The 27217-nt window shown below is 43.6% G+C and overlaps 1 protein-coding gene and 1 long non-coding RNA gene across 7 annotated transcripts, besides 4 other annotated features; one reads left to right on the plus strand and one right to left on the minus strand.

Moving 5' to 3' along the window:
• Nucleotides 1–2304: 2304 nt before the first annotated feature.
• Nucleotides 2305–26046, minus strand: C16orf46 (chromosome 16 open reading frame 46). 6 transcript variants are annotated; one of them, XM_005255792.3, is made up of 5 exons: nucleotides 25944–26046; nucleotides 15001–15089; nucleotides 12554–12801; nucleotides 10014–10946; nucleotides 2305–2902 (listed from the first exon to the last, which is right to left on the minus strand). In XM_005255792.3, the coding sequence occupies exons 3-5, from the start codon at nucleotides 12761–12763 to the stop codon at nucleotides 2879–2881; spliced, it is 1167 nt and encodes a 388-aa protein (XP_005255849.1). In that variant the 5' UTR covers nucleotides 12764–12801; nucleotides 15001–15089; nucleotides 25944–26046; the 3' UTR covers nucleotides 2305–2878. The 6 variants fall into 6 exon arrangements, with proteins under 6 accessions (XP_005255849.1, NP_001094343.1, NP_689550.2 ...); NM_001100873.2 differs by lacking the exon at nucleotides 15001–15089; NM_152337.3 differs by lacking the exon at nucleotides 2305–2902 and having other exon boundaries at nucleotides 9788–10946.
• C16orf46-AS1 (C16orf46 antisense RNA 1) lies at nucleotides 20835–25406 on the plus strand. The gene is made up of 2 exons (XR_007065137.1): nucleotides 20835–21038; nucleotides 25232–25406. It is a non-coding gene; the product is annotated as a C16orf46 antisense RNA 1 (long non-coding RNA).
• Nucleotides 25578–25717: an enhancer, noted in NCBI's record as "active region_11176". NCBI's record gives its function as "activates an Ori minimal core promoter by ATAC-STARR-seq in GM12878 lymphoblastoid cells {active_cell/tissue: GM12878}" and the evidence as "EXISTENCE:reporter gene assay evidence [ECO:0000049][PMID:35858748]".
• Nucleotides 25809–26469: an enhancer, noted in NCBI's record as "H3K27ac-H3K4me1 hESC enhancer chr16:81110606-81111266 (GRCh37/hg19 assembly coordinates)". NCBI's record gives its function as "activates a minimal SCP1, AML or CMV promoter by ChIP-STARR-seq in primed H9 embryonic stem cells {active_cell/tissue: H9 hESC(primed)}" and the evidence as "EXISTENCE:reporter gene assay evidence [ECO:0000049][PMID:30033119]".
• Nucleotides 26308–26357: an enhancer, noted in NCBI's record as "active region_11177". NCBI's record gives its function as "activates an Ori minimal core promoter by ATAC-STARR-seq in GM12878 lymphoblastoid cells {active_cell/tissue: GM12878}" and the evidence as "EXISTENCE:reporter gene assay evidence [ECO:0000049][PMID:35858748]".
• Nucleotides 26470–27128: an enhancer, noted in NCBI's record as "H3K27ac-H3K4me1 hESC enhancer chr16:81111267-81111925 (GRCh37/hg19 assembly coordinates)". NCBI's record gives its function as "activates a minimal SCP1, AML or CMV promoter by ChIP-STARR-seq in primed H9 embryonic stem cells {active_cell/tissue: H9 hESC(primed)}" and the evidence as "EXISTENCE:reporter gene assay evidence [ECO:0000049][PMID:30033119]".

A 27217-nucleotide genomic window follows, 5' to 3' on the forward strand; every position in this document is an offset into this window, starting at 1 on the left:
AACACCCAAATATATAAAGCAAATATTATTAGATCTATAGGGAGAAATAGACTGTAATACAACAATAATAGGGGATTTCAGCACTTCACCTTTGGTAATGGACCAATCATCCAGAAAATCAACAACAAAACATTAAACTGCACAATAGACCAATTGGACCTAACAGACATTGACAGAATATTCCTCCAAAACACTGCAGAATACACATTTTTCTCAGTAACACATGAAACACTTTCCAGGACAGATCACATGTTAGCCCACAAAATAAATCTTAACAAATTTACAATTAAACTCATTTCGAGTTTTTTGTTTCTTTTAACCACAATGGCTATTACTAAAATGTCAAAAAATAACAGATGTTGGCAACTTTGCACAGAAAAGGGAACGCTTATACACTGTTATGGGGAATGGAAATTAGTTCAGCCCCTGTGGGAAGCAGTTTGGAGATTTCTCAATGAACTGAAAATAGAATTCAACCTAGCAATCCCATTAGTGGGCCTACCAAAGGAAAACATATCGTTCTACCAAAAAGACAGATGCACTCATATGTTTATCGCAGCACAATTCACAATAGCAAAGACATGGAATCAACCTAGGTGCCCATCAATGGTGGAATGGATTTCTTTTTTTGTTTTGTTTTGTTTTTGAGATGAGTCTCACTCCATCACCCAGGCTGGAGTGCAGCAATCTCCGCCTCCTGGGTTCAAGTGATTCTCCTGCCTCAACCCCCCAAGTAGCTAGAATTACAGGCGTCTACCACCATGCTTGGCTAATGTTTGTATTTTTAGTAGAGACAGGGTTTCACCATGTTGGCCAGGCTGGTCTTGAACTCCTGACCTCAAACGATCCACCCACCTCGGCTGCCCAAAGGACTGGAATTACAGGCATGAGTCACCGTGCCCAGCCTGTATTTCTAAAATGTGGTACATATACACGATGGAATACTATGCAACCATAAAAAAGAACAAAATCATATCCTTTGCAGCAGCATGGATGCAGCTGGATGCCATTACCCTAAGCAAATTAACACAAAAACGGAAAACCAAATACCGCATGTTCTTATTTGTAAGTGGGAGCTAAACACTGGGTACATGCAGACATAAAGATGAGAACAGACACTGGGAACTCTAAAAGTGGGGAGGTGGGAAGGGGAATAAGGGTTGAAAAACTACCCATTGGGTACTGTGTTCACTATATGAGTGATGAGATCAGTAGAAGTCCAAACCTCAGCATCACACAATATAACCATGTAACAAACATGCAAATGTAGCCCCCACACCCCAAGTCTAAAATGTTTACTAGACTGTGAGTTCTAAATTAAAAAAAAAAAAAGAAAATTAAAAGAAAATAATTTTTAAAAAGAAAGAGAAGGGTTATATCACTTTGGGGGGCTTAGGGACGCAGCCTTTGGGGTACCACACAGTTTTATTTTCCTTGTCTCTCACAGTGTATCTATGTGTGTTGTCCTCCAAAGCATGTTTAAATGGCATTAATTAGATTTGACAACTAGGAGGGGACAACATATATGCCTTCATACTCTCAACTTTTAAAAGGCTCTAATTTGTTAAATGACATGAATTTTATGTATGTATGCATGTACTTATTTTTGAGATGGAGTCTCGCTCTGTCGCCCAGGCTGGAGTGCAGTGGTGCAATCTCAGCTCACTGCAACCTCCACGTTCTGGGTTCAAGCAATTCTCCTGCCTCAGCCTCCCGAGTAGCTGGGACTGCAGGCACGCACCACCACGCCCAGCTAATTTTTTGTATTTTTAGTAGAGACGGGGTTTTACCATGTTTGCCAGGCTGGTCTTGAACTCCTGGCCTCAGGTGATCCACCCACGTCGGCCTCCCAAAGTGCTGGGATTACAGATGTGAGCCACTGCGTCTAGCCATGAATTTTAATCTAGTTTGTTTAGCAAGGTGTTAGCCAGTAAAATGTTTTAAGGCCAAGAAGATGACTACATTGTTTTTCAATGTTTAAATCCAAAGGATTCTCTCAGTTGTTGGAACGGTATTTATTAGCAGATACATTGATATTTTAGTTTACATATCCAGAGACGCAGGCTAGAAAACAAACAGGGACGGCTCTCAGGTTGTCGGTGTTCTTGACGTTCACAGGGGCACTGCATTTAAAAATCAGCTTGCTTGAAAGGAGCAAGGCCCAAGCTATATGAATCAGTAAAAGCAGCACTGGCTATGCCATAGCTGGAACACTATCAATATTCAGTTTCTTCAACAAACTCCAGAAAAAACACTAAATGTTTTACTGCCTTACTAATAAATAACAAAACAAAAACTCATAAATATTAGTAAGACAATTTTATTTATTGCTTTACTAATTAATAACAAAATAAAAACTTTGTTCTAACTCCACGCATTCCAAAATAGTATAGTTTGACCTATCAGAGACCACAGCCATGGCCCCTCCACTAACTTTTCATACTTTACTTGGAAGCAAGTTACTATTACAGAACATTAGGCTGCAAAAAAGAAACAACAAAAAATTTAAACAAGTCATACTCTTTTTAACATCAGTGAAATAGTCCAATGTATCTGAAAATGAAAATAAATTGTTTTGAAATTATCTCCACGGTGACTTTGTTATTTTCAAAAGTACATATATTATATTACCTCTGCATATAACCTCTTTTTGGGGGCCGGGTTGGGGAGACCTAAAAGAGCGAGCCGATGACCATGGCAGGTGTAAATAAGACCTTGCTCCAAACGTGGCGTCTTCTTACTGCTTCTGCTTGCAGCGTTTGACTCTCTGCTTTCTGGTGATCCGCCGCTTTTCCATGTCCTGGGTGAAATATTTGCTTTTATGATTACATCTCAACCGTGTTGCTGCTTAGGACTGAATGTGAAACTGATCCCTCTCCTACTTTATCTTCTTTTTCCTGTGCTGTAACGAGAAATTTAATGACTTCAGAAAATGTAGAGCCCATGCTGCAATGAAAATGTGGCAGAAGTCAATGCATCTGAATTATGACAAAAGGATATTCAACCATGAAGACTGCCCTCAATAACTTTTTCCTTGGTAGATGAAACTAGTCTCTAAAAACCAACAAGCAAACAACAACAACAACAACAAAAAAAAACAACAAAAATAAAAAACTTTTTTCTTTTTAAAACGTGAGCCCACCGAAATTAAGATTTTAATTTTGGGAAGTCAACCAAACTTTGGCAAATTATGCTTTAGGAATTATTTACTCTATATTGTCTTATTTCAGCTCATGGAAATAATTTTGGTTTTGTTATATTTTAGAGTTAATACTATTAATGAATTGCAAGCTGGTATCAATTTTTCTGCACCTTTTTTGGTAACGTGATATATATATATGTATATACATGTTGGCCAGGCTGGACCCGAACTCCTGACCTCAAGCAATCCACCCATCTTGGCGTCCCAAAGTGCTGGGATTACAGGTATGAGCCACTGCACCCGGCCACATGTGATATATCTTATTATTTTTTGAGACAGTGTCTCACTCTACTGCCCAGGCTGGTATGCAGTGGCGTGATCTCGGCTCACTGCAAACTCCACCTCCAGGGTTCAAGACCTTCTTATGCCTCCGCCGCCTGAGTAGCTGGGATTACAGGCACGCACCACCACGCCCCCTAATTTTTCTATTTTTAGTAGAGGCAGGGTTTTGCCATGTTGGCCAGGCTGGTCTCGAACTCCTGACCTCAAGTGATTCACCCACCTCGGGCTCCCAATGTGCTGGGATTACAGGTGTGAGCCACCGTGCCTGGCCAACAGGTCGTATATTTTTAAATCACTGAAGTCACTATTCTGTTACAAGATATGTGCTTAACTAGTAAGAACTCTTCAGAGTTAAAGTTCTCTAAATAACTACCATAATGCCAAGTATTCCTCTGACATCCTACTTTCCTGAAATTTAGAGAAGTCAGTCATGAGGATTTCGTTGAACAGCCAAAGAAATTAAAATAGACTCATGAATAGTAATAAGGCCAGTGGTATTTATCCCAAATTCCATATCGGATTTATCTTCAGAGGACATGCAGATTGGAACAAATGAAATCACTAACAGTTCTTTCACATTTAGAGGTTTAGTGATCATGGTTATTCTTGGGCAGATAAAAAGGAAAAAAAAATAAAGGCTTAGTGAACTGTCATAACCCTGTGTGGTGCTGAAAATAAAAAACTATATTACATTTTCAAGCTAGCTCTCCTCAAGTTTTAATAAGTGGTAAAACTAGTTGGGCATGGGGGCTCATGCCTGTCATCCCAGCACTTTGGGAGGCCAAGGCAGGCGGATCACTTGAGTCCAAGAGTTCGAGACCAACCTGGGCAACATGGCAAAACCCGTCTCTTCAAAAAAAAAAAAAAATTAGCTGAGCATGGTGGTGTGTGCCTGTACAGCCAGCTACTAGGGAGGCTATGGTAGGAGGATCGCTTAAACCCTGCAGGCTAAGGCTGCAGTGAGCTGTGATGGTACCACTGCACTCCAGCCTGGGTAACAGGTGAAACTCTGCCTCAAAAAATAAAATAAGTAGAGAAACTTCTTTTTTTATTATTGTTTTGAGACGGACTGTCGCTCTGTCACCCAAGCTGGAGTGCAGTGTTGGAATCTCAGCTCACTGCAACCTCTGCCTCCCCGGGTTCAAGCGACTCTCCTGCCTAATCCCAAGTAGCTGGGATTATAGGCATGTGCCACCATAACTGGCTAATTTTTGTATTTTTAGTAGAGACGGGGTTTCGCCATATTGGCCAGGCTGATCTCGAACTCCTGACCTCAAGTGATCCACCCACCTCAGCCTCCCAAAGTCCTGGGATTACAGGCACGAGCCACAATGCCCAGCCAACTGTTTCATTTTAAAAGATACATGGGGAGGAAGATTTGTAGTTTAAGCTAAACGGGAGAGAAAAGCCACTTTGATATATACATATGAAGCACAGATTGCCAGTGCTTGCTAAGGTGTATCCCACAAAGTATTGGCTGCCTTTTCATATTTACGCCTGTTCAGCCCAAGCAGTGAGTGTGGAAAAGTGAGTATTAAACATCAGAGAATTCTGAATAATGGCAGTAAATGTAAATACACTAATTTAACATCTTCGACTTATCTCGAAAACCTTGCCAAACCAGTAATGCACATTCTCCTGAAGATGGGAAGAGAGAATGCCCACAACTCTTCCTGTCACTGACTGAATGGGCCCTCCTGTTACTCTGAGAGACTCTTCTCAGAGAAAAGCAGACTTCGCAGGGTGCGGTGGCTCACACCTGTAATCCTAGCACTTTGGGAGGCTGAGATGGGTGGATCACTTGAGGTCAGGAGTTCAAGACCAGCCTAGCCAACCTGGTGAAACCCCATCTTTACTAAAAATACAAAAATTGGCTGGGCATGGTGGCAGGCACCTGTAATCCCAGCTACTCGGGAGGCTGAGGCAGGAGAATCACTTGAATCCGGGAGAGGGAGGTTGCAGTGAGCCAAGATCGCGCCACAGCACTCCAGCCTGGGTAACAGAACAAGACTCCGTCTCAAAAAAAAAAAAAAAAAAAAAAGCAGACTTATGGCTGCTTCTTTGCTTCTTTCTAGAAAGGACCTAGGCAGGTGCCACCATGAGACCCTAGAGGACCAGCGCAAAATGGAGAGCACATATGCCTTCTGGGATGTGGCAAGCTGGGCGTTCCCCCAGCTCCCTTCACACCTGCACCAAGGCACCTGCTTGATCTATAAGTAAAGCTGTCAGAGAAGCTGCAGCAAAGGCGGTGGGCTCCAGATTACTAATTCCCTAAACCAGCGGTTCTCAGCTAGGGTGATTTTGCCCTAAAGGGGCATTTGGGAAAGTCTGGATACATTTTTCGTTGTCATGACTGGGGATGGTATTGGCATCTAATATGTCAAGGCCAGGGATGCTGCTACACATCCCACAATGCACATACAGGCCCATCACAAAGAATGATCCAGCCCCAAATAGTGCCCAGGTTGAAAAGCCCTGTCCTAAAGATAGGCCAGGTGATGGGGTGGCTTTGAGCATTGCTGTAAATACAGCACCCACCTGGGCCATTCAATCCTCTAAGAAGTTATGTATATTGTTTAGAACGTATTGGGGCAGGGCATGGTGGCTCACGCTTGTAATCCCAGCACTTTGGGAGGCCAAGGCGGGCGCATCATTTGAGGTCAGGAGTTTGAGACTAGCCTGGCCTACATGGTGAAACCCTGTCTCTACTAAAAATACAAAAATTAGCTGGGCATGGTTGTGCACACCTGTAATCCCACCTACTCGTGAGTCTGAGGCAGGAGAATTGCTTGAACCCGGGAGGCAGAGTTTGTAGTGAGTTGAGATCATGCCAGCCTGGCCCACAGAGGAAGACTCTGTCTCAAAAAAAAAAAAAAAAAAGTATGTGTTGGTAGAGAAGGTTAAGTGCCCACAGTCTTAGGTTAAAAAAAAAAACTAAAATTTCTTTAGGGTTTTTACCATCATCATCTTTTGAAACGTATAAACTGAAGTTCATTTAGGTTGTTGTTGTTGTTGTTGTTTTTCACATTAGAAAGGCCAGGATCCAGAGCAAGACTGATCAAAACCTGAAACAGGCCGGGTGTGGTGGCTCACGCCTCTAAGCGCAGCACTTTGGGAGGCCAAGGCGGGCGGATCATGAGGTCAGGAGATCGAGACCATCCTGGCTACCACGGTGAAACCCCCTCTCTACTAAAAATGCAAAAATTAGCTGGGCACAGTGGCACACACCTGTAACCCCAGCTACTCAGGGGGCTGAGGCAGAAGAATCACTTGAACCCGGGAGGCGGAGGTTGCAGTGAGCCAAGATTGTGCCATTGCACTCCAGCTTGGACAAGAAGAGCGAAACTCCATCTCAAACAAAACAAAACAAAACAAAACAAAACAAAACCTGAAACAGAAATAACTGTTCACTATTTTGCGTCTCTATAATAATAATGTTTGCAGGCAAGTTAAATGCATTAAAATGACAGAACTAGGGAAATTTCAGACATTACTCGCTCATTTTATAGGCAAAGGCAGAAATGCTCAGTGGCAAAGCTGGGGTACTAAAAAATATACATCCTGATGGTTCTCAGCTCTTAGGAAAAAGGAAGATGGTTCTTATTTTTACTTATTGCAGTGAACACTGGATTTATCCTGAGACTGTGTCCAAGAAAATATACAGATGCTTTTTGATCTAGGAGATTGAACTTGAAAAGTTTTTTCCTGGAACACCTCCGTATGCACAAATTCAGTACAAGAGTCATGCCTTAAGCTGCACAGTGATGGTGTTTAGACTGGTACAGTGGAAATACAGGCAAAACCAGATGAGGAAAAAGGCCAGGGAATTAAGATGGATTGGACCCAAGCAAGGAGCACCTTAGTTGACAAGTTGCAAAGTTAAGTTCTGAGAACCCATTAAAGAGTAAAGACCCATCATCAAATATCCAAATGCCAGCTTGCAGGCCAAAGGACTTCCATACAATTTTAAACAGTCAGTTATTCATTAGAGGGAAATTATCCAGCTTGTTATATTTGATCCACTCAATACATTCAGGAAAAACACAGATCTCTGTTGGAGTTCAACATACATTACCTGGTCATCTTCACCACATCCTGTATCTGAAAATTGTTCCTATCTTAAAGGAAGAAATGACATTCTTGAGCCCTCCTTCCTGCCTTATGTGATATTTTCCACCTAGTACTTCAAACGTCCCCGACCTGTGAAATATAGTTTGAGCCTTCAGAAACCCAGGCTACAAACCTTAATGCTGTCCTGACCAAACCCAACCCTCTGCTGAACAATTTCTCCTTGGGTTAGAAGAGGAAAATGATCCCTGATTCCCATGCATACATGCAGGATTAAAAGAGATAATGTCTGGGAAGAGGACTTGGATTCTTATTTATTTATTTTTTTGAGACAGAGTCTTGTTCTGTTGCCCAGGCTGGAGTGCAATGGCGTCATCTCGGCTCACTGCAACCTCCGGAAACCCAGTCTCTACTAATAATACAAAAATGAGCTGAGTGTGGTGGTGGGCACCTGTAATACAAGCTACTTGGGAGGCTGGGGCATGAGAATCGCTTGAACCCAGGAGGCGGAGGTTACAGTGAGCCAAGATCATGCCACTGCATTCTAGCCTGGGTGACAGAGCGAGACTCTGTCTCAAAAAAAAAAAAAAAAAAAAAACCCTAGGCAAACAGACAAGACATTACAAAGACCACTATGGAAGCAGGTATTTACAAATATAGTCATATATTCTGTCTACTCCATCGTTTGGAGACAGGAAATCCAGACTTCAAGTCCAACCTACCTTAAGCAAATTCAAACTATGTAATTACAAAGCAGCTTAATGATTACTCATATCACAGAACGGTTCATCAGAACATGTGTCTACAAAGCAACATCACTTGGCATTTAAAATATAAATCATTTACAAATGTCATTTAATTTAGATAGAACGGTGGGAATATGAGTTGGGGTAAAATGAGGGTGGAGGAAGGACAGAGGGAGAAAATAACAGCCCCTTTCCAAAAGTGTCTGGGGTTGAGGGTTTCCAAACATTAGATGCAAAGTAATGCCAGAGGAAGCATGTGGGATGATAATCACAGTGATCTTTTTATTTTTTTCCCAAAAAGATTTTTTTTTTTTTTGAGACGGGGTCTCACTCTGTCGCCCAGGCTGGAGAGCAGTGGCACGATCTCCGCTCACTGCAAGCTCCGCCTCCTGGGTTCACGCCATTCTCCTGCCTCAGCCTCCTGAGTAGCTGGGACTACAGAAGCCCGCCACCACGCCCGGCTAATTTTTTGTATTTTTAGTAGAGATAGGGTTTCACCGTGTTAGCCAGGATGGTCTCGATCTCCTGACCTCATGATCCGCCCGCCTCAGCCTCCCAAAGTGCTGGGATTACAGGTGTGAGCCACGGCGCCCGGCCCCAAAAAGTAATTATTCTTAACCTGCTTCCCAGGCTGGATTTTGTAGCACTGTAGCTAAAACTTCCAGACACAGAGATTAGTATGAGGGTACAATCTGAGGACATGGCACCCTGAAAATGCAGGAGACGATAGTGTATATACATGGAAACAATCTGAGGGTGTGACACCCTGGACGCACAGGGTCTCCAATGCCTTGGACGTCCTGGACACAAGCTGGAGTTTTCTTTTCTTTCTTTTGAGGCGGAGTTTCGCTCTTATTGCCCAGGCTGGAGTACAATGGCACGATCTCGGCTCACCACAAACTCTGCCTCCCGGGTTCAAGCGATTCTCCTGCCTCAGCCTTCTGAGTAGCCGGGATTACAGGCATGCGCCACCATGCCCGGCTAATTTTGTATTACTTTAGTAGAGACAGGGTTTCTCCATGTTGGTCAGGCTGGTCTCGAACTCCCAACCTCAGGTGATCCACCTGCCTTGGCCTCCCAAAGTGCTGAGATTAGAGGCGTAAGCCACTGTGCCCGGCCTGGAGTTTTTTATTAAAGCAATTCTTCAGATCTTTGTTGCAACAGCAAATGAGGCAGCACATAGACACCTGCTTCGTTCAAAAAATCAGCAGGCAGTTTGGTCTAAACCAGCCCAGTATACTTAGTTTGAGGCACGGGGGTGGGGCAGAAAGGACACCTGCCAGATGGCTCTGGGCTGACGTGCGGCCAGCATGGAGGGAAGGAGGCCCTTTGGATTCCCCACTTTCTGCGTGGCTTCTGCTGGGAGTGGACATGAAGCAGGCAGAGGCTGGGGCTGGCAAGACCAATTGGCATTTTGTGAATGGCTAAGTAGCAGAAGCACGTTAACACATGAATATGGTGTTTTAGAAAATAAATCCCAACAATCCACTGAGGTTCAGTTTTCTTCAGTTGTACTACAAAAAAAAAATGGAGGAAAAGAAGAGTAAAGACAGACTGACGGGGAGGAGAGAAAGAGAGAGTGGGGGGTGGGTGGGAAATGAGAGAGAAGAAAGAGAAAGGATGGCTGCATCTCAAACGGTGCTTATTCCCAGGGGTTCTACCGCAACCGCTCAGAGGATCCTGTGGGTAGAGACAGGAATGATAACTCTGCTCACTGTGAGAGACGGCAAGACAGGTCTTGGGAAAACTTTGGTCTCCAGCATTTGGGGCCTGTTTTCCTGCTTGGCCTTTGGGAGAACATGCTTTCGGGTGATCACAGGAGATCTTGGCTCCTTGGCTTTGAATTTGGATTTGTAGCTTTGCACTCCCCGTTTCTGCAGAAGCTGCAAGGCAGCAAGGTAGCGAACGTTGCTGGGGTCTGGAGGGCACGCCAGGTTTTTCTCAGACAGGAGGGACCAATGCAGGCAGCGCTGCTCCGGATCGGTCAGCAGGGATATCTGGGCCGCTGGGGAAGGGGAGGATGGCGTGTCGTTGACCATAGGGTGTTTGGCCAGCTCACTGGCTCTTTTTTCACCTTTCCCATCTGCTGTTTTCAAGCCATATGCATAAGCCACACACCCATCCTTTTCCACATCCAGCACCTTCTCTTCTGACTGCAAGAAAGAGTTCTTACTCTTCTTACCCAGAACATCCAAAGCATTTGAAAGTGAAGCCTTCAGGGGAGGCAGAACTAGGAGGGCCCTGGAAGTCAGGGGGCCTGGGATGGACAGCCCTCTGTGGGCCCCTCCACTGGGATTCCCAGAGGCCTTGCCCCTATTAGTGCCGGGGATGGCCCAGTCTTTGTTGCACCAAATAAACTCCTTGATTTGCAGACTTTTTTTCTCTGCTCGAAAGTAGGTGGGAAAGCAGATGTCGCTAATTGCCCTGGAAGCAGTGCTGGGGCCCTGGGGGGCTGCCTGAGTCTGGGAGGGGCTGCTCTGATCCTTCTCTGGGCCCCCCTCAGTAGGAGGCTTGGTCTGGAGGCTCCAGTGGGAGAGGTTAACACACACCAAGCAGTCGCTGCAGGCACCTTCCCCTACCCTCGCCTTTTTTGGTATCTTCCTCGGCCAGATGCAGGCAGCTGGAGAAGTCCTTCCCCACCCTTGGACCTGCAAATAAAGCGGCATGTTACTCCTCCAGCTGAGGGGCCCAAACTGTCCTTGCCCCAATTTTGGCCACATTCCCATTTTGGCAGTCTTATGTGAAACAATATTCTTATTTTTATTTATTTTTTTACTACCCCTTCCCCCACTAATAATTTTCTTAAAATTCATTCACTTAAAAAAAAAATCCTTCAAAGTTGCAAAGCATGAAAAAGTGTAATACCTACTTTCACCGCTATAAAGCAATAACAGTATTTGTAATAGTATTTGTTAATCCTAAATACTAGCAAGAGCATTTGTTAATACTAAAACACTAAGCAACAGTATTTGTAAATGGCCACTTTGATGTGCTGACTATATTTCTTTTCAAATGCACATTTAAATTTGAAGCCATTAAAATAAAATGAAAACCGTTCATACTTGTCCCACCAACAAGGATTTCGGGCACCGCCAGTCTCTGCTTCCCTTACCTGGGGAACACTGTTGCTTGGAGAGGCTGGAGGGAGACCGAGGAGCAGAGGCAGGTCCTGGAATGCAGAGGAGCCCTGCGTACCCAGGGATACCTACTCCCCATACACGCCCAGAGTCCTCTGGCTGATCTTGCCACAGAGATCACCATTAAAAAAGGGTTGCCAGTAAAAATATAGGACCACATTTTGGACATACTTATACTGATAAATTAGGTATTTATCTGGTAATCCTATGTTTAATCACTGGATTAGACCAAGTTTTCTCATAGTTTTATGCTTTTTTTTTTTTTTTAGTTTTCTTATAGTTTTAAATATAGGATTCTATTGTTGATTCTATGAATTGTTTAAGAGTAAGCCTGCAGACCAGGCGCAGTGGCTCAGGCCTGTAATCCCAGCACTTTGGGAGGCTGAGGTGGGCAGATCACCTAAGGTCAAGAGTTTGACACCAGCCTGGCCAATATGGTGAAACCCCGTCTCTACTAAAAATACAAAAATTAGCTGGGCATGGTGGGCACCTATAATCCCAGCTACTCAGGAGGCTGAGGCAGGAGAATCGCTTGAACTCAGGAGGCAGAGGTTGCAGTGAGCCAAGATCGCGCCACTGCACTCCAGCCTGGGCGACAGAAAGAGACTCCATCTCAGGGAAAAAAAAAAAAAAAAAAAAAACCCACAGAGTTCTGAGTAGAGCCATTAGGAAAGAAGCCTCAGTTCTCTCAGGGAGTTCAGCACAGCTGCTAAGGAGCTCAGGGTTCTAGAGTCCAGGAGACCTGGATTCAAGCCCTGCCTTGGCCACTTATTGGCTGGGTGATCTCGAGCATGTAACTTTATCTTCCAAGTGACTCAGTATACTCATCCACAAAGCGAGGCTGGGAAGAAAACTTGCCCCATATGGCTATTGAGAGGTTAGATGAATTAATGTATCCAAAGTACTTAGTACTGTGCTGTCCACATACTAAGTGGCCATAAATACCCACAGTAGGTGCTGCTCTTATCATCAGTAATATTTTACCTCAATTCCAGGGTTTCTACATGTCATTGATTCCACATTTTTTGGTAATATTAACTATTTTTGGGAAAAAGAGGCTTGCACCAAAACACTGATGTGCGAGAGACAGAAAAGCTGTGACTCAGAAAGATACTCACTGCCTCTTCCCATCCAGTTCCAATAATAAACTCTTTGGCTTTTTCATCTTGTTCAAGCGTAATGTCACTGACATCGAGAAGACAATAAACATGATTTTTTTCACTTTTTCCATCTGGACAAGTATAGGTTGGTTCTGTTTCTTCTGTGAACTGAATTTCATTATTTTCAGCATTTTCTAAGTCAGTCTCATTTTTCTGACAGAGATCCATTACTGTGATGCTTGCTTAAAGTTTTTAACATCTTCTTGCTGTTTAAAAACATGAATGGAACTTCGTTTTTAATATTAATTTTTTTTTAAAAAAAGCAATGCAATACTCAGGTGAAATATCTTCAAGACACATTCAGGAATATGGCCGGCCGCGGTGGCTCATGCCTGTAATTCCAGGAATTACTTTGAGAGGCCAAGTCAGGCGGATCACTTGAGGTCAGGAGTTTGTGACCAGTCTGGCCAACATGGTGAAAGCCAGTCTCTACTAAAAATAAGGCGGGCACCTGTAATCCCAGCTACTCGGGAGGCTGAGGCAGGAGAATCACTTGAACCCAGGAAGCAGAGGTTTCAGTGAGCTGAGATTGGCCACTGCACTCCAGCCTGGGTTAGAGAGTGAGATTACATCTCAAAAAAAAAAAAGAAAAGAAAGAAAGAAACATTCAGGAATAGACTGAGAACAAATATTACGCAACTATCCACTGCCAACCACTGGCACTATGAAAGATAAGGCAGCCAGGAGTGATGGCTCACACTTGTATTCTCAGCACGTTGGGATGCTGAGGCTGATGGATCACCTGAGGTCAGGAGTTCGAGGACAGCCTGGCCAACATGGCGAAACCCCATCTCTACCAAAAATACAAAATTAGCTGGGTGTGGTGCTGCGCACCTGTAATCCCAGCTACTTGGGAGGCTGAGGCAGGAGAATCACTTGAATCCGGGAGGTGGAGGTTGCAGTGAGCCAAGATCACGCTATTGCACTCCAGCCTGGGCAACAGAGCAAGACTCTGTCTCAAAAAAAAAAAAAAAAAGAAGATATGAAGAGACATAGGGAGAAGATGGCCATCTACAAGCCAAAGACAGCAGCCTGGAACAGAGCCTCCTCTCACAACCCTCAGAAGGAACAAACCCTGCCAAAACTTTGATTTTGGACTTTGAGAATCCAGACCTATGAGGTAATACATTTCTGTTGTTTAAGCCACTCAGTCTGTCGTACATTGTCATGACGCCCCTAGCAAAGTAAAACAGTAGGTGATGGTGATAACCCTATCTACCATTAATGGATGTTTTTCTGGAAAATGCACTTGGCATTTAGAATCTAGACAAAGGGTCTGCAAAGTTGTAATCCTGATCAGAGCCAAAGAGCTGAACAGTTCCAGTCCTATTTACCGGCTGTGTCCCTTGAGCGATGACTTACTTTTCTGGGTCTGTTTGCTCATCTATAAAAAGGGCTAAAGCGGCTGCATGCGATGGCTCACGCCTGTAATCCCAGTACTTTGGGATGCCGAGCTGGGTGGATCATTTGAGGTTAGGTGTTGAGACCAGCCTGACCAACATGGTGAAACCCTATCTCTACTAAAAATACAAAAAAGTTAGCCAGGTGTGGTGGTGCACACCTGTAGTCCCGGCTACTCAGGAGGCTGTGGCAGGAGAATAGCTTGAACTTGGGAGGCAGAGGTTGCAGTGAGCCAAGATCGTGCCACTGCACTCCAGCCTGGGCGACAGAGTAAGAATCCGTCTCAAAAAAAAAAAAAAAAAAAAAGCAAAAGCATGATACCTTCCTACAGATAGGGGTTCCTCCTGTGGACCCCACAGGCTGCAGAAATTAACTAGAATACCTGAGCAGTGACCACCAAAGCTCTGGCTTGAGTGCTGATAAGCACCCAGTGTCTTCTCAAGAAGTTCCTTGCTTGTGATAAGACAGGAGGCACAGGGGACACCCACTCCTTGCTTTCTCTCAGCCAGACGTGACCCATGCCAGAAAACTAGTTTTTTTCATTTTTTGTTTAGGAAGAGATCGGTACTTCTTATGACAAATCTGTTGAATTACCAATTTGGCTTTTTCACATAGGCTTAGTTTTTTTATTTTGTTTTGTTTTGTTTTGTTTTGTTTTGTTTTGTTTTTGAGACAGAGTCTCACTCTGTTGCCCATGCTGGAGTGCAGTGGTGCGATCTTAGCTCACTGACAAAATTTACTGGAGTAAATTTTGTAAAATTTTAAGTTGGAAGTTGTACCTCCGCTTCCCAGGTTCAAGCAATTCTCCTGCCTCAGCCTCCCGAGTAGCTGGGATTACGGGCGTGAGTCACCGTGCCTGGCCAACACTACATTTTTATAAGCACTTTACTTATGTAATGAGGGTTCACAAGGAACTGTATTGATTCCTTGTGACTCAAAACTAAGAATCATCCCTGAGTCAATTAACACAGTATTATTAATCAGAAGGTCAGATTACTGCATACCAGATCACCAGATGCACCTTCGGAACACTGGTGTACTTCAGGCAGGATCAACACGCTCCGCTACTAAAAGAGAATATTGGGGTCTTTTCCTAATTAAAAAGAAATTCAGTTAGTGGATAGGAAAGTTGTATTTTAAGTTTCCCTTCTCTAAACATACTATCAAGTTGTTGTCTGTCTCGCTCCGTCGCCCAGGCTGGAGTGCAGTGGTGTGATCTCAACTCACTGCAACCTCTGCCTCCCGGGTTCAAGCAATTCTCCTGCCTCAACCTCCCAGGTAGCTAAGACTACAGGCGCCTGCCACCACGCCTGGCTAATTTTTTTGTAACTGTCGAGTTTTATTACCCATTCTTGTCTTCCAGCTCACGTTAGCAGATGACACACAGTAATGGCCAAGAATCAATAGATCAAAGAAAAGAGTGGATATGTGATTCCTTGCAATCTGTATGCAGTTTTACTTTTATGTTGGAATGCAGACATCTATATTCATATAATATTTTCTGGTAGTAAAATTATGCCTGACTTACACATTTGACGTAAACCAAGAGCTCATGCCATCCCATTTCTTGGCTTCCATTGAACTTTACAACCTGATTCAGTTTGAGAATCACCAGGATAAAGCATACATCAAAGTCCATACAAACGTTTTCCACCACATCAAGAAAACACAAAGATCACAGTGAAGATGTTGCCATGGAGACGCATTTGCAGATGCAACTCTAAAATTGGATTTAGAGTATAAAGCGGGAAAGCTCAAATATGTAGGCCAGAAGGTATTAAACTCTATTACACAAGCTATTAAAGTGATTAGAACCAACATGTACAAAAGAAATAGTTGACTCTGATCCAAGCCCCCAAAGTGCATGTTTGGATAAACAAGAATAAACCCAAAGAAAAACTGATCAAAGAACTTAAGATATTTGGAAACGAAAGAAAGATGGTGAATGAGAGCCTAAAAAATATAGCCTATGGAAATTTACCATAATCCAGAAAATACCTTTTCTAGTAGCATTTAAAGACAGATACAAAAAGGAAATGATCAGCCAAAGAAATGTAAAGTGGTTTATTTTCTTTTACCAATAACATGTTTTGCTTCAAAATAATGTGAGGTTGAGGTTAGGGAGGGAATAGTGAAACCAAAGTGCCCTTAAGTTCTGTTTGTTGTAGATGGGTATGAGGACATGGGGATTAACTGTACTATTATATTTTTATGTAAGCATGAAACTTCCTGTAATAAAACTTTTAAAGCCATGATGTTATCGGAGAGCTCCAAGAAATGAAATGTGGAATAATGATAGAAGCCAGGGTACAATGAATTTTGACCTTAAGCAAACTGAAATAAATGTTGTTTTTTGTTTGTTTGTTTTGGTTTGTTTTTTTGTTTTGAGACACTCGCTCTGTTGCCCAGGTTGGAGTACAATGGTGTGATCTCGGATCACTGCAACCTCCGCCTCCTGGGTTCAAGCGATTCTCCTGCCTCAGCCTCCCGAGTAGCTGGGATTACAGGCGTGCGCTACCATGCAGGGCTAATTTTTGTATTTTTAGTAGAAACGGAGTTTTACCATGCTGGCCAGGCTGGTCTTGAACTCCTGACCTCAGGTGATCCACCCATCTCAGCCTCCCAAAGAAATAAATGTATCAATGAACAGATAACAAGGTTTGTGTAATTTTAAGTTGCAGTAAAGACCTTGAACAAGGACTTATTGAAAGAAAAAAACACACAGATCTACAAAAAAGATATAACATCAGATAACAAGTTTTATAAAAGTGATTTAGAGGAACTCCAGAAATATTTGTCCAATTATTCTTAAGTCACAGTACACAAGGGCTTCTCATTGAATTTATTGAATGGCCAAAGGAACAGGTGTAAATGCAGAAAAGAATAGACATTACTATTTGGATCTGTGACACTATATTGAGATCATGTAATTTGTTAATGAACTGAGAAGTACAAGACTATCAAATGCTCCTTTGTTATACGTCCGGCAAAGTTAATGTAGCTTTAACACCCTAACCAATCTATAGAGTATGAAGTGTCTTGCTCCTGAAATGAACAAAGACAACGGTTAAGCTATCACAGTCAACAGTAGAGGCATACCAGTCGAATACAGCAAAAGGACATGTTTTCTGTTGTGTGTTGTATAAAAGTTAAAATTGGGAAAGCGGGGGAGAAATCAGTGTAAACTGAGAACAATGAACGTATCTCCTATTTACAAATAAGTAACACTGCCCAAAGAAAAACCTATGTGGAAAGAGACCACCCGACCAAGAACATAAAGAAATTTCCAAAGTCCTGGTAGCTGAAAAGAAGTGAAGGGATAGCAGAAGAAATGACTATGCCATATGGTACAGAAAGGGCCTTTGTATTTCTTTGTATTTTTTTTTTTTTTTTTTGAGATGGGGTCTCACTATATTGACCAGGCTGGTCTCAAACTCCTGGCCTCAAGTGATCCTCTCATTTTGGCTTCCCAAAGTGCTGGGATTACAGGCATGAGCCCAGCCTTTCTTTGTAACATATATATATATTTTTTAGACCAAGTCTCGCTCTGTCACCCATGCTGGAGTGCAGTGCCATGATTCCAGCTCACTGCAACCTCCGCCTCCTGGGTTCAAGTGATTCTTGTGCCTCAGCCTCCCAAGTAGCTGGGATTCCAGGCGCATGCCACCACGCCCGGCTAATTTTTTTTGTATTTTTAGTAGAGACAGGGTTTCACCATGTTGGCCAAGCTGGTCATGAACTCCTGACCTCAGGTGATCACCCGCCTCGGCCTCCCAAAGTGCTGGGATTATAAACGTAAGCCACCGTGCCTGGCCCTTCATATTGTTTTGATAAAGAAGGTAATAACGTGGCTACTTTATTTTAATGAAAATGAGGTTAGAAATGGACTTATAAAAAAATAGAATTCTGATTTTGTGTCTGCTTATTTTTGGTTTATGTCTTTTTTGCCCCAGATAGGACTCAAGCTGCCAGGCTCTTTTTGAAGAAGGCTGCAGTGGGTACACTTGAATTAGGAGGAGTACTGTCCGTCAGTCTCGACTACCTAGCATTAGTCAAGACAGGCAAGGATAGGCTGCAGTAACAAGCAGCCCTATCTCTTTTCCAGTGGTTAAAAAAACACAGGCTTCTTTCTAACTCATGCTGCAGGTTCATTGTATGATGTCTGGGACTCTGTTCCACATTGTCCTCACTCCTGAACATGAACTGACAGAGGCTGCCTGCGTCGTTGGAAACCACAGCCAACTGTGATGCAGAGTGTGATGGCAAACATGGCTCTTAGATGGTTCTTTCTGGAAGTCACTCATTTGACTTCAGTTCACATGTCATTAGCCTGGAGCAAATCACAGACATTGCCTCACTTTAAGGAGAAGCGGGGCTAATACTTCCTTCTATATCTCCAGGAGGAGTAAGAAGCCAGATTTTGGTGACTGATCATACTGTTTTGGTACCACATTAATCTGGTATCATTAGAGGTGAAATACAAAGAAAATAACCCATATCTACTGTGAATGTCACTACCTAAAATGTGGACATTTATCATCACTGAAAATAGAATCCAGACTCCTTGGACCATTTCCTGGGAATGGGAAGTCCTAGATTTTAGGAAGATAAGACTGGACTTAAAACATTATAATGCTGTTCTTAAAACCTTTTTCACCAGGCATGGTGGCTCACGCCTGTAATCCCAGCACTTTGGGAGGCCAAGGCAGGTGGATCACGACGTCAGGAGTTCAATACCAACCTGGCCAAGACGGTAAAACCCCATCTCTACTAAAAATACAAAAAAAATTAGCTGGGCATGGTGATGGCCGCCTACAATCCCAGCTATTCAGGAGACTGAGGCAGAGAACTGCTTGAACCCAAGAGGCGGAGCTTGCAGTGAGCCGAGATCACGCCACTGCACTCCAGTCTAGGCGACAGAGTGAGACTCCATCTCAAAAAAAAAAACAAACCTTTTTCAAATTTTTGGATTCTAAAGTTTATATGAAAACACAAAGTCCCAAAAATAGATTGAAAGGTTAAAGAAGAAGTTGTAAGACTGCACTGATGAATACTGAGATGATATAAATAGGAATCTAGAGCAGGATTCTTTACATTGACAAGCAAGTTTTAGAATTTATTGGGAAAGGCAAAGGAACTAGAATAGCTGAAACATTTTGAAAAGTTAGAATTAAGTGGAGAAATCACACTACCCAGTTTTAAGAATTACCATAAAGCTACAGTAATCAAAGCAGTATGGTATTAGTGAATGAAGAGACACATAGGTCAATGCGCCAGAATAAGGAATCCAGAAATACACCCCCCCAAACATGGCCAATAGTTTTTTTTAAACAAAGGCACACAAATAATTAAATACAGAAAGGACTGTCTTTTCAACTAATGGTGTTGCAACAATTAACCGTCTATATGCAAAAACACTTTACAATGGATCATAGATTATAAATATAAATCTTAAAACTGGGCAGCTTTTATTTGGGGGTTTCCTGTTTTTTATTTTCACTTACTTATTTATTTTTGAGACGCAGTTTTGCTCTTGTTGCCCATGCTGGAGTGCAATGGCATGGTCTCGGCTCACTGCAACCTCCGCCTCCGAGGTTCAAGCCATTCTCCTACCTCAGCCTCCCGAGTAGCTTTATGATCTTATAAGTCACTCTATAGTTTCACTTCTATATAATAACTTATAGTCATGTATAGTTTCACTGCTGGACTCAACTGGTTTATCAGCCTTTGGGGTCAGCCCACATTCAAGAGGAAGGGGCACAGACTCTTCTTCTGTATGGGAGAATTATCAAATAATTTTCATGTCTTGAACCACCACGCCATGGTTTTCCGACTCCAGAGTCCATGTGTACTTCTTTTCACTATATGGTGTGGACATACTTGTTCCTGGGAATCCAGTGCCAATCAGACAGCGGCGATATGGTGAGTTATATTTGTTCTGACCTCGTGAGACTCTGTACAGCCCCACTAAGAATGAAAAGAACATTCCTACCTGGTTCCTGATATGACTGCTCCTCACTAGAGATCAGTGTATTCAGAATGCCAAAGCTCTACTCCCAGTGTCATGGGGAAGCTCCAAGTGGCCCAGTCAAACGTGGCAGGTTATCACTAACCAATAAGAGCGACCAACTATCTGTGATCAAGGCTAAATGCCAGAGAAGAAAATCTAATCGCTGCAGGGGAAGAGAAGTCACTATATTGGAAATGAACACTTCCAAGACAAAGAAACACTGGTTTCAATTAAGACACAAATGCTGGGAAAAGAAAAGTCAGTGCAGGCTGCTGCAGTGGCTCACGCCTGTAATCTCAGCACTTTGGGAGGTTGAGGCAGGAGGATCACTTGAGCTCAAGAATTTGACAACAGCCAGGGCAACACAGAGATACCCCATCACTAGAAAATTTTTTTTAATGGCCAGGCGTGGTGGTGTGTGCCTGTGGTCAGAGCTACTAGGGAGGCTGAAGTGGGGGATCCCATGGGCCCCGGAGGGAGATCTTGTCTCTAAATCAATAAATAAGTAAATAACCCCAAAAATAAAAAAAAATTAAAAAGTCAATGCATAACATAACTGGTACATATACCGAGTCTCTAAGAGAATAACTCATTAGTGGTACCATCTTATAAATGAGAAAAAAAATGCAGGAAGGTGAGGAACGTTCCGGGATCACTGTGAGAGACAGCTACTGCTGCCCAAAGAGCCACTGTCTTTGCCTACTTTGCAGCCTCTGTTGCAGTTGGGTTAGAGACTTGTGACTAGCCTGGTCAACAGACTGTGAGTGGAACTAATGTGTGTCACTTCCTGGGTGAGGCAGTGAATAGGTAACGTCCTCCTTCAGTTCTCTCTTCTCCTCCCACAATGACCCTGGGGGTCAGATGTTGAGTTAGCGGCACCACAGAATGGAAGAAGCCTAGATTTTGACTCACAGCTTTGAGAAATGTCCCCATAAACCCTCATCAGACTATGCATGGATGAGAAAAAACTTAATGACTCCAGCCATGAGATCTGAGGAACTGCTTGTTGCTACACCAGTCTGTCCTATACAGGTAAGTACAGTTACTGAGATTGTGTCAGAGCTGAGATTACAAGGCCAGGTGGGACTCTGACTCTGAGGGGTTGTTCGTGTAATGATTATACCTGATGCAAAAAAAAAAAAAAAAAAGAATAAAAAAGAAAAAAGAAACTAGCTATAACATACTTTTTATTATTAATTTTTTTGAGATGGAGTTTCACTCTTGTTGCCCAGGCTGGAGTGCAATGGTGCGATCTTAGCTCACTGCAACTTCTGCCTCTGGGTTCAAGTGATTCTCCTGCCTCAGCCTCCCAAGTAGCTGGGATTATAGGCATGCGCCATCATGCCAGGCTAATTTTGTATTTTTAGTAGAGATGGAGTTTCTTCATGTTGGTCAGGCTGGTTTCAAATTCCCGACCTCAGGTGATCCGCCAGTCTCAGCCTCCCAAAGTGCTGGGATTATAGGCGTGAGCCACCGTGCCCACCCTAGTTTTTATTTTTTTATTTTTATTTTTATGTTTTTGAGACAGAGTCTCACTCTCTTGCCCAGGCTGGAGTGCAATTGCATGATCTCGGCTCACTGCAACCTCTGACTCCCAGGTTCAAGCAATTCTCAAGCCTCAGTCTCCTGAGTAGCTGGGATTACAGGCGTGCGCCACCATGCCTGGCTAATTTTTGTATTTTTTTGTAGAAACAGGGTTTTGGCATGTTGGCCAGGCTGGTCTCCAACTCCTGATGTCAAGTGATCCGTCCGCCTCAGCCTCCCAAAGTGCCCGGCCAATTATAACATACTTTAAAAAATAACTGGATGAAGAGTTACATACTAAAGGGAACTAGCTATTTAGTCCTCTAAATTATAGCTACCTTATAGGAAGTCACATGATGCTAGCAGAAAAGGATTAGTTTCAGGTAAAACAGGAAAATACAGTTGCTGTTTCACAATAGGAAAATATAAAACATAAAGTATTTTACCACTATAGAAGGGAACAGATGTCTGTAGTTATTACCCTGTGTAAAGCCAGATTGGTATGTACCATAAATTCAGGCTAAAAAGTGCCTATTAGAGATTGAAAGTCTCAGGAACACAAGCTCCATGTCTTTGGAAGACTAAAAATATGCTTAATTCTAAGATACAACTCTGATTAGAGGCAGAATTAATAGCATATAAGGTTAATTTATGGTCATGGAGAGAAAAATGGGTAAAAATACCTGCTGCAATAAGCTCTTCTAGAATGTTCCTGAAAGATAACGTGGTAGGCAGAATTCTACAAATTCTCTCCCCTCAAGATTTCCCACCCTAATCCCTGGATGAATAGGATGAAATATAACATCCACAAATATGTTATATTACATGGTAAAAGGGACTTTGCAGATGTAATTATGGTTATTAACCAGTTGACCTGAAGATAGGATATTATTTTAGATAATCTGGGTGGCCCTAATCAAATGACGTAGTCTTCTAAAACAAACTTGTCTTAGCTAGCAGCAGCAGAAGTCAGAGATACAAAGCACAAGAGGAATTCAATGCATTGTTGCTGGCTTTGATGAAGTGGGGGTCACATCCCAAGGAATGTGGATGGCATTTAGGAGCTGAGAAAAGACCCTGGTTTACAGTGAGGAATTAAACAGGGATCTCAGTTCTACAACTTCAAGAAACTGAATTCAGCCAACAGTCTGAATGATCTTGGAAGTGGGTTCTTCCAATAAGAGTCTAGACTGGATGACTTAGGAGATCTTAAACAGAGAACAAAGCATCAACAGAAAACTAATACAATAATAATTCAGCTTAAATACTTCTGCTTAAGTACTTTCAACGACTGAGTGCTCGTAACTTTACAGGAATGTTTTTTCTTTCCATTGGAAGCTCTAAAGATTCGAATGATCTCAAATTAAGTCATCCGCAAGCCTGCAAATTTTGTTCCTCAGTTCTTGGTATTCTTCTCAAATGCAAATCTGAAAACATCTGAAGACAGCTATCATTTTGTCAGATACAAATCTCAAGTTCCTCATCATCTTAAGAATGCAAAATTACCTGTCTCTTAAAATGTGGTGCCTGGAACTGAAAGCAATACCTCAAAAGTGGTCTGACTAGAAGTGTCTGCTTTGAAATCTGACTCCTTTTGATCTGAAATCTACATCTATTAATTAAACAAAGTTACTATATTTTTTTAAAAGTGTAACTCAATCTTTTTTCTTTCTTTTTTTTTTAGACAGAGTCTCGCTCTGTTGCCAGGCTGGAGTACAGTGGTATGATCTCAGCTCCCTGCAACCTCTGCCTCTTGGGTTCATGAGATTCTCCTGCCTCAGCCTCCTGAGTAGCTGGGACTACAGATGCGCGCCATCACGCCCAGCTAATTTTTGTATTTTTAGTAGAGACAGGGTTTCACCATGTTGGCTAGGATGGTCTCGATCTCTTGACCTCGTGATCCGCCCGCCTCAGCCTCCCAAAGTGTTGGGATTACAGGCATGAGCCACCACACCCAACCCTATAACTCAATCTTGATTAACACTGAGCTTGAGGTGAACTACAACTTCCAGATTTTTTTTTTTTTCACATGAATGGCTAAAAATTCCTGTCTTCTTTACTCTGTAACCATGCTGTTGATTTTCTTTTCTTTTTCTTTATTCTTTTTGTTTTACTTAGATGTAGACTCCAAATGCATCAGATCCTTGTAAAATTTCCCCTTTTGTTTTTGGACCATTATTAAACCTGCGTAGACAGTTCGCAACCTAACTCTGACTTCCCACAGTTTGACCATTCCTTCTTGCTTGATGACTCCATTAATTTGATGAGGATGCCTTCTGTATCTCCATCTACATCACGGATAAAGACGTTGAGAAGGATGGGTAAAGGATAATGCCCTCTGGGTATCCCTTTCACTTGGACATTTGCTAATTATTCAACTAGCTGCAAATTCACCTTCATCTTACTCCCTATACAATGACCTGGCCTATGTTTCTAAATCTTTTCTACAGGAATCCAGATCCATCCATTTAGATAGTCTTTTTTTTTAGAGGAACCTACCAAGAGTTATAGAAGTTGATGTCTCTCTCTCTCTCTCTTTTTTTTTTAACACCTATTGCCTAGATCAGGGATAAAGAATACATTCTGGCCAAGCACGGTAGCTCACACCAATAATCCCAGCACTTTGGGAGGCCGAGGCCGGTGGATCACTTGATGTCAGGAGTTCAAGACCAGGCTGGCCAATATGATGAAACCCCATCTTTACCGAAAATACAAAAATTAGCCAGGCATGGTGGCTCACGCCTGTAGTCCCAGCCACTTGGAAGGCAGAGGCAGGAGAATCGCTTGAACCCGAGAGGCAGAGGTTGCAGTAAGCCGAGATTGCACCACTACACTCCAACCTGGGTAACAGGGTGAGACTGTCTCAAAACAAAACAAAGAAAATTCTGAATTGTCAACTCCAAACTAGTGGCTACCTAGAGTGTTGTATTGAGAAGGATCTTATGACCTGACTATAGCAGGAAAAATTTCTGGGGTTGATTAATTATGTCTGCCAGAAAATAGAGTGTGCCACATGTTTGCCAGTCTGTCTATATAGTCAGATTACAAATATCTTACCGTAGCTTCCTATACCTGGTTGACAGATTCCTAATCCATTAAGGGCAGGGGAATGTTGAAGGACCAGGAGAAACCAAGGCCCAGGGTATTAAGTCAAACGCAAGCTGTTTATGTCAAAAGCAGATAGATGGTAATCTCTCAAAACTCCTTATCACCTTGCCTCAACTTCTCATTGGCTCTCCACTGTGCCACACACCCTCATCTTCCTACAAGCTATAGGTTTAAAGGAATCTTAAATTCCAACCAGGGAAAGATGAGTTTCTGGCAGCCTCATTTGGAATTTGAATGAACGTTCCTGTGGGTCGGCTCCTTAACAACCTATGCTGAATGAAGGAATAATCATTAGAAATATTGTTAGCCATGGCAGAAGTTAAGTTTCTTAATACAGGACCAATCTTCACTTACATGAACCAGTTAAATAGGTCCTGAAGACTGACCTGGGCATCCTGATCATTTGTGACACAGTTTCTACAGGAAAATGAGTTGGGAGTCGCATTTAGAAACACACTGGAAGGAGCTGAACCTTTGTCTGAAAGTTAAGCACCCGCGCCACCCAACTTGCACAATTTGTTCATATTTCCAAGAGTATAAATTTTATCCTCCTTGTTAATTATATGTGCCTTCTGCTTATTATATGCCTACAGGTCACAGGAACCTCAAGTATTTCACAGAATGATGCCAAGGAGCGCAGTTTCTACACCATCCCTCCCGATCAGACCACATCTATTCCAATCTCAGTCTCAAACTCTTCCCCTTTTTCAACTCACATTAATGAATTCACTAAGTACCTAGCACTGAGAATAAAAAGCTAAAGCAGCATCCGTCTTCTCTACTCTCACACAGCTTACAGTCCACAGCAAAGCGCAAGTCATCAAACACACGCGCTCCACCTGCCACCCCTAAAGCCCAGGCGCATCACGCTCGGCTCCACCTCTTCATCTAGCCCCGCCCCTTCCTGCAGGCCACACCCCTTTCTCTATCAGGCTCCTCCCTTTATGCCATAAGCCTTTTTTCCTCATCTAGCTCTTCCCCTTCCTCCGCCAGTTCCTACCGTGCCACAAAGACGCCTGCCCTTCTTTCAAACTATCCCATTCAGAAAAGCGTTCTGGATTGCCCGTTCGAATTCCTCCCCGTCCTCCGTCTACCCACCCTTAAAGGGTTCCGCTCCCAACGGATCCTCCTCAGGCCCCGCCCCTCCCCAGACCCCGCCCGCTCTGGGGAAGCCCCGGCACATAGTGCCTCTGCCTTTCGCTCCCTCTCGCTTCCTTTCGAACGAGGCAGGGACTCTCGCTCTGTCGCCTTTGGAGTGGTCCCGGGCCTTGCCCCAGGGGTGGAGAAATGGCCGCTCACACCTACCTGTGGGGCCAAGCGGATGGAAGGCCCCGAGACAGCTAGTCCCGGCCTACTGGCAAGAGCTACTCAGGTCGCTGCCGGATGGGCCGTTGCCTTGGGTTACGACCACGCTGGGGGCGGGACCGCGGCGGAAGTGACGTAGCCCAACAAAGCCTAGCACTGGCGAGGCGGTTCGTGGCATCTCCTATCCGCTCCGGGCGCTGCCGCCGGAAGGGCCAGCGACGGAGGGTCTCAGATGGCGGGGCTTGAGGCCCACCCGGGCTCTCGGGTCGGCGAGTCCCGTTGGGGAGCCCTTGTGCCTGCTAGGATATTTAGCAGATGCCAGGCGGCCAGAAACGTCCTCACTTTTCTCCCTCGGCCCTCTGGGGAACCGCCGTGAGCGTTTCCCACGGACACAAACTTAACAGGCCCAGAACGTCCAGGGAGGACGCGTTGTGAGCCTCAAAGAGCCCACTTACGTGACCGACAGCACCAGGCCGACGGGCACTCGCTGAACTGCTGGCCCGGAGCAGCACAGCTCTTAAGTGGGCAGTGGCATCTTTTATACAAATAAAGGAAGGTGGCCCCACGTCCCTAAAACAACAGCTTGCTGAAGAGAGATCGCAAAGCATCCCCCACTCCAGCTCGGGTCTGACTCCAAAGCCCTTCTGCTTTAGAAAGTGTGACTATTTCTGCTGTAGAAAACCGGTATCTAGGCCAGGCGCGGTGGCTCACGCCTGTAATCCCAGCACTTGGGAGGCCGAGGTGGGTGTATCACCTGAGATCAGGAGTTCGAAACTAGCCTGGTCAACATGGCGAAACCGTGTCTCTACTAAAAATACAAAAATTCGCCGGGTGTGGTGGCGGGCGCCTGTAATCTCAGCTATTTGGGAAACTGAGGCAGGAGACTGGCTCGAACCCGGGTGGCGGAGGTTGCAGTGAGCTGTGATGGCACCACTGCACTCCAGCCTGGAGAGCAAAACTCAAGTCTCAAAAAAAATTTTGGTATCTAAGTTCTCTAGCACTGTGATTGCTCCAATGAGACGGATTCAGCTATAATTCTATTCCAACTTTTTTCATACGTGTAAGCTTAGGTACCTTGTTCACATAAATAGGAAGATGCAAATAAAAGGGGTTTTATTGTATCTCAAGCTAGTAAGTATTAACCAAAAACATTTAAATGTTTTATCAGTTGACAATTTGTTTTGGTCTTCCTTCAGATCTATTGAAAACAGCTGGGCACCGTGGCTCACACCTGGAATCCCAGCTGAGGCAGGAGGCTCCCTTGAGCCCAGGAG

The sequence above is a fragment of the Homo sapiens genome, chromosome 16 (assembly GCF_000001405.40).
Source record: "Homo sapiens chromosome 16, GRCh38.p14 Primary Assembly".
In the NCBI taxonomy this organism is placed as follows: Eukaryota; Metazoa; Chordata; class Mammalia; order Primates; family Hominidae; genus Homo; species Homo sapiens.

Coding starts and splice junctions, on each gene's coding strand:
- C16orf46 (XM_047433586.1), bottom strand. CDS start 12,763: ATGGATCTCTGTCAGAAAAATGAGACTGACTTAGAAAATGCTGAAAAT. Junction 10,947..12,553: donor GAACTGGATGGGAAGAGGCA/GTGAGTATCTTT, acceptor CTTTATTTGCAG/GTCCAAGGGTGGGGAAGGAC.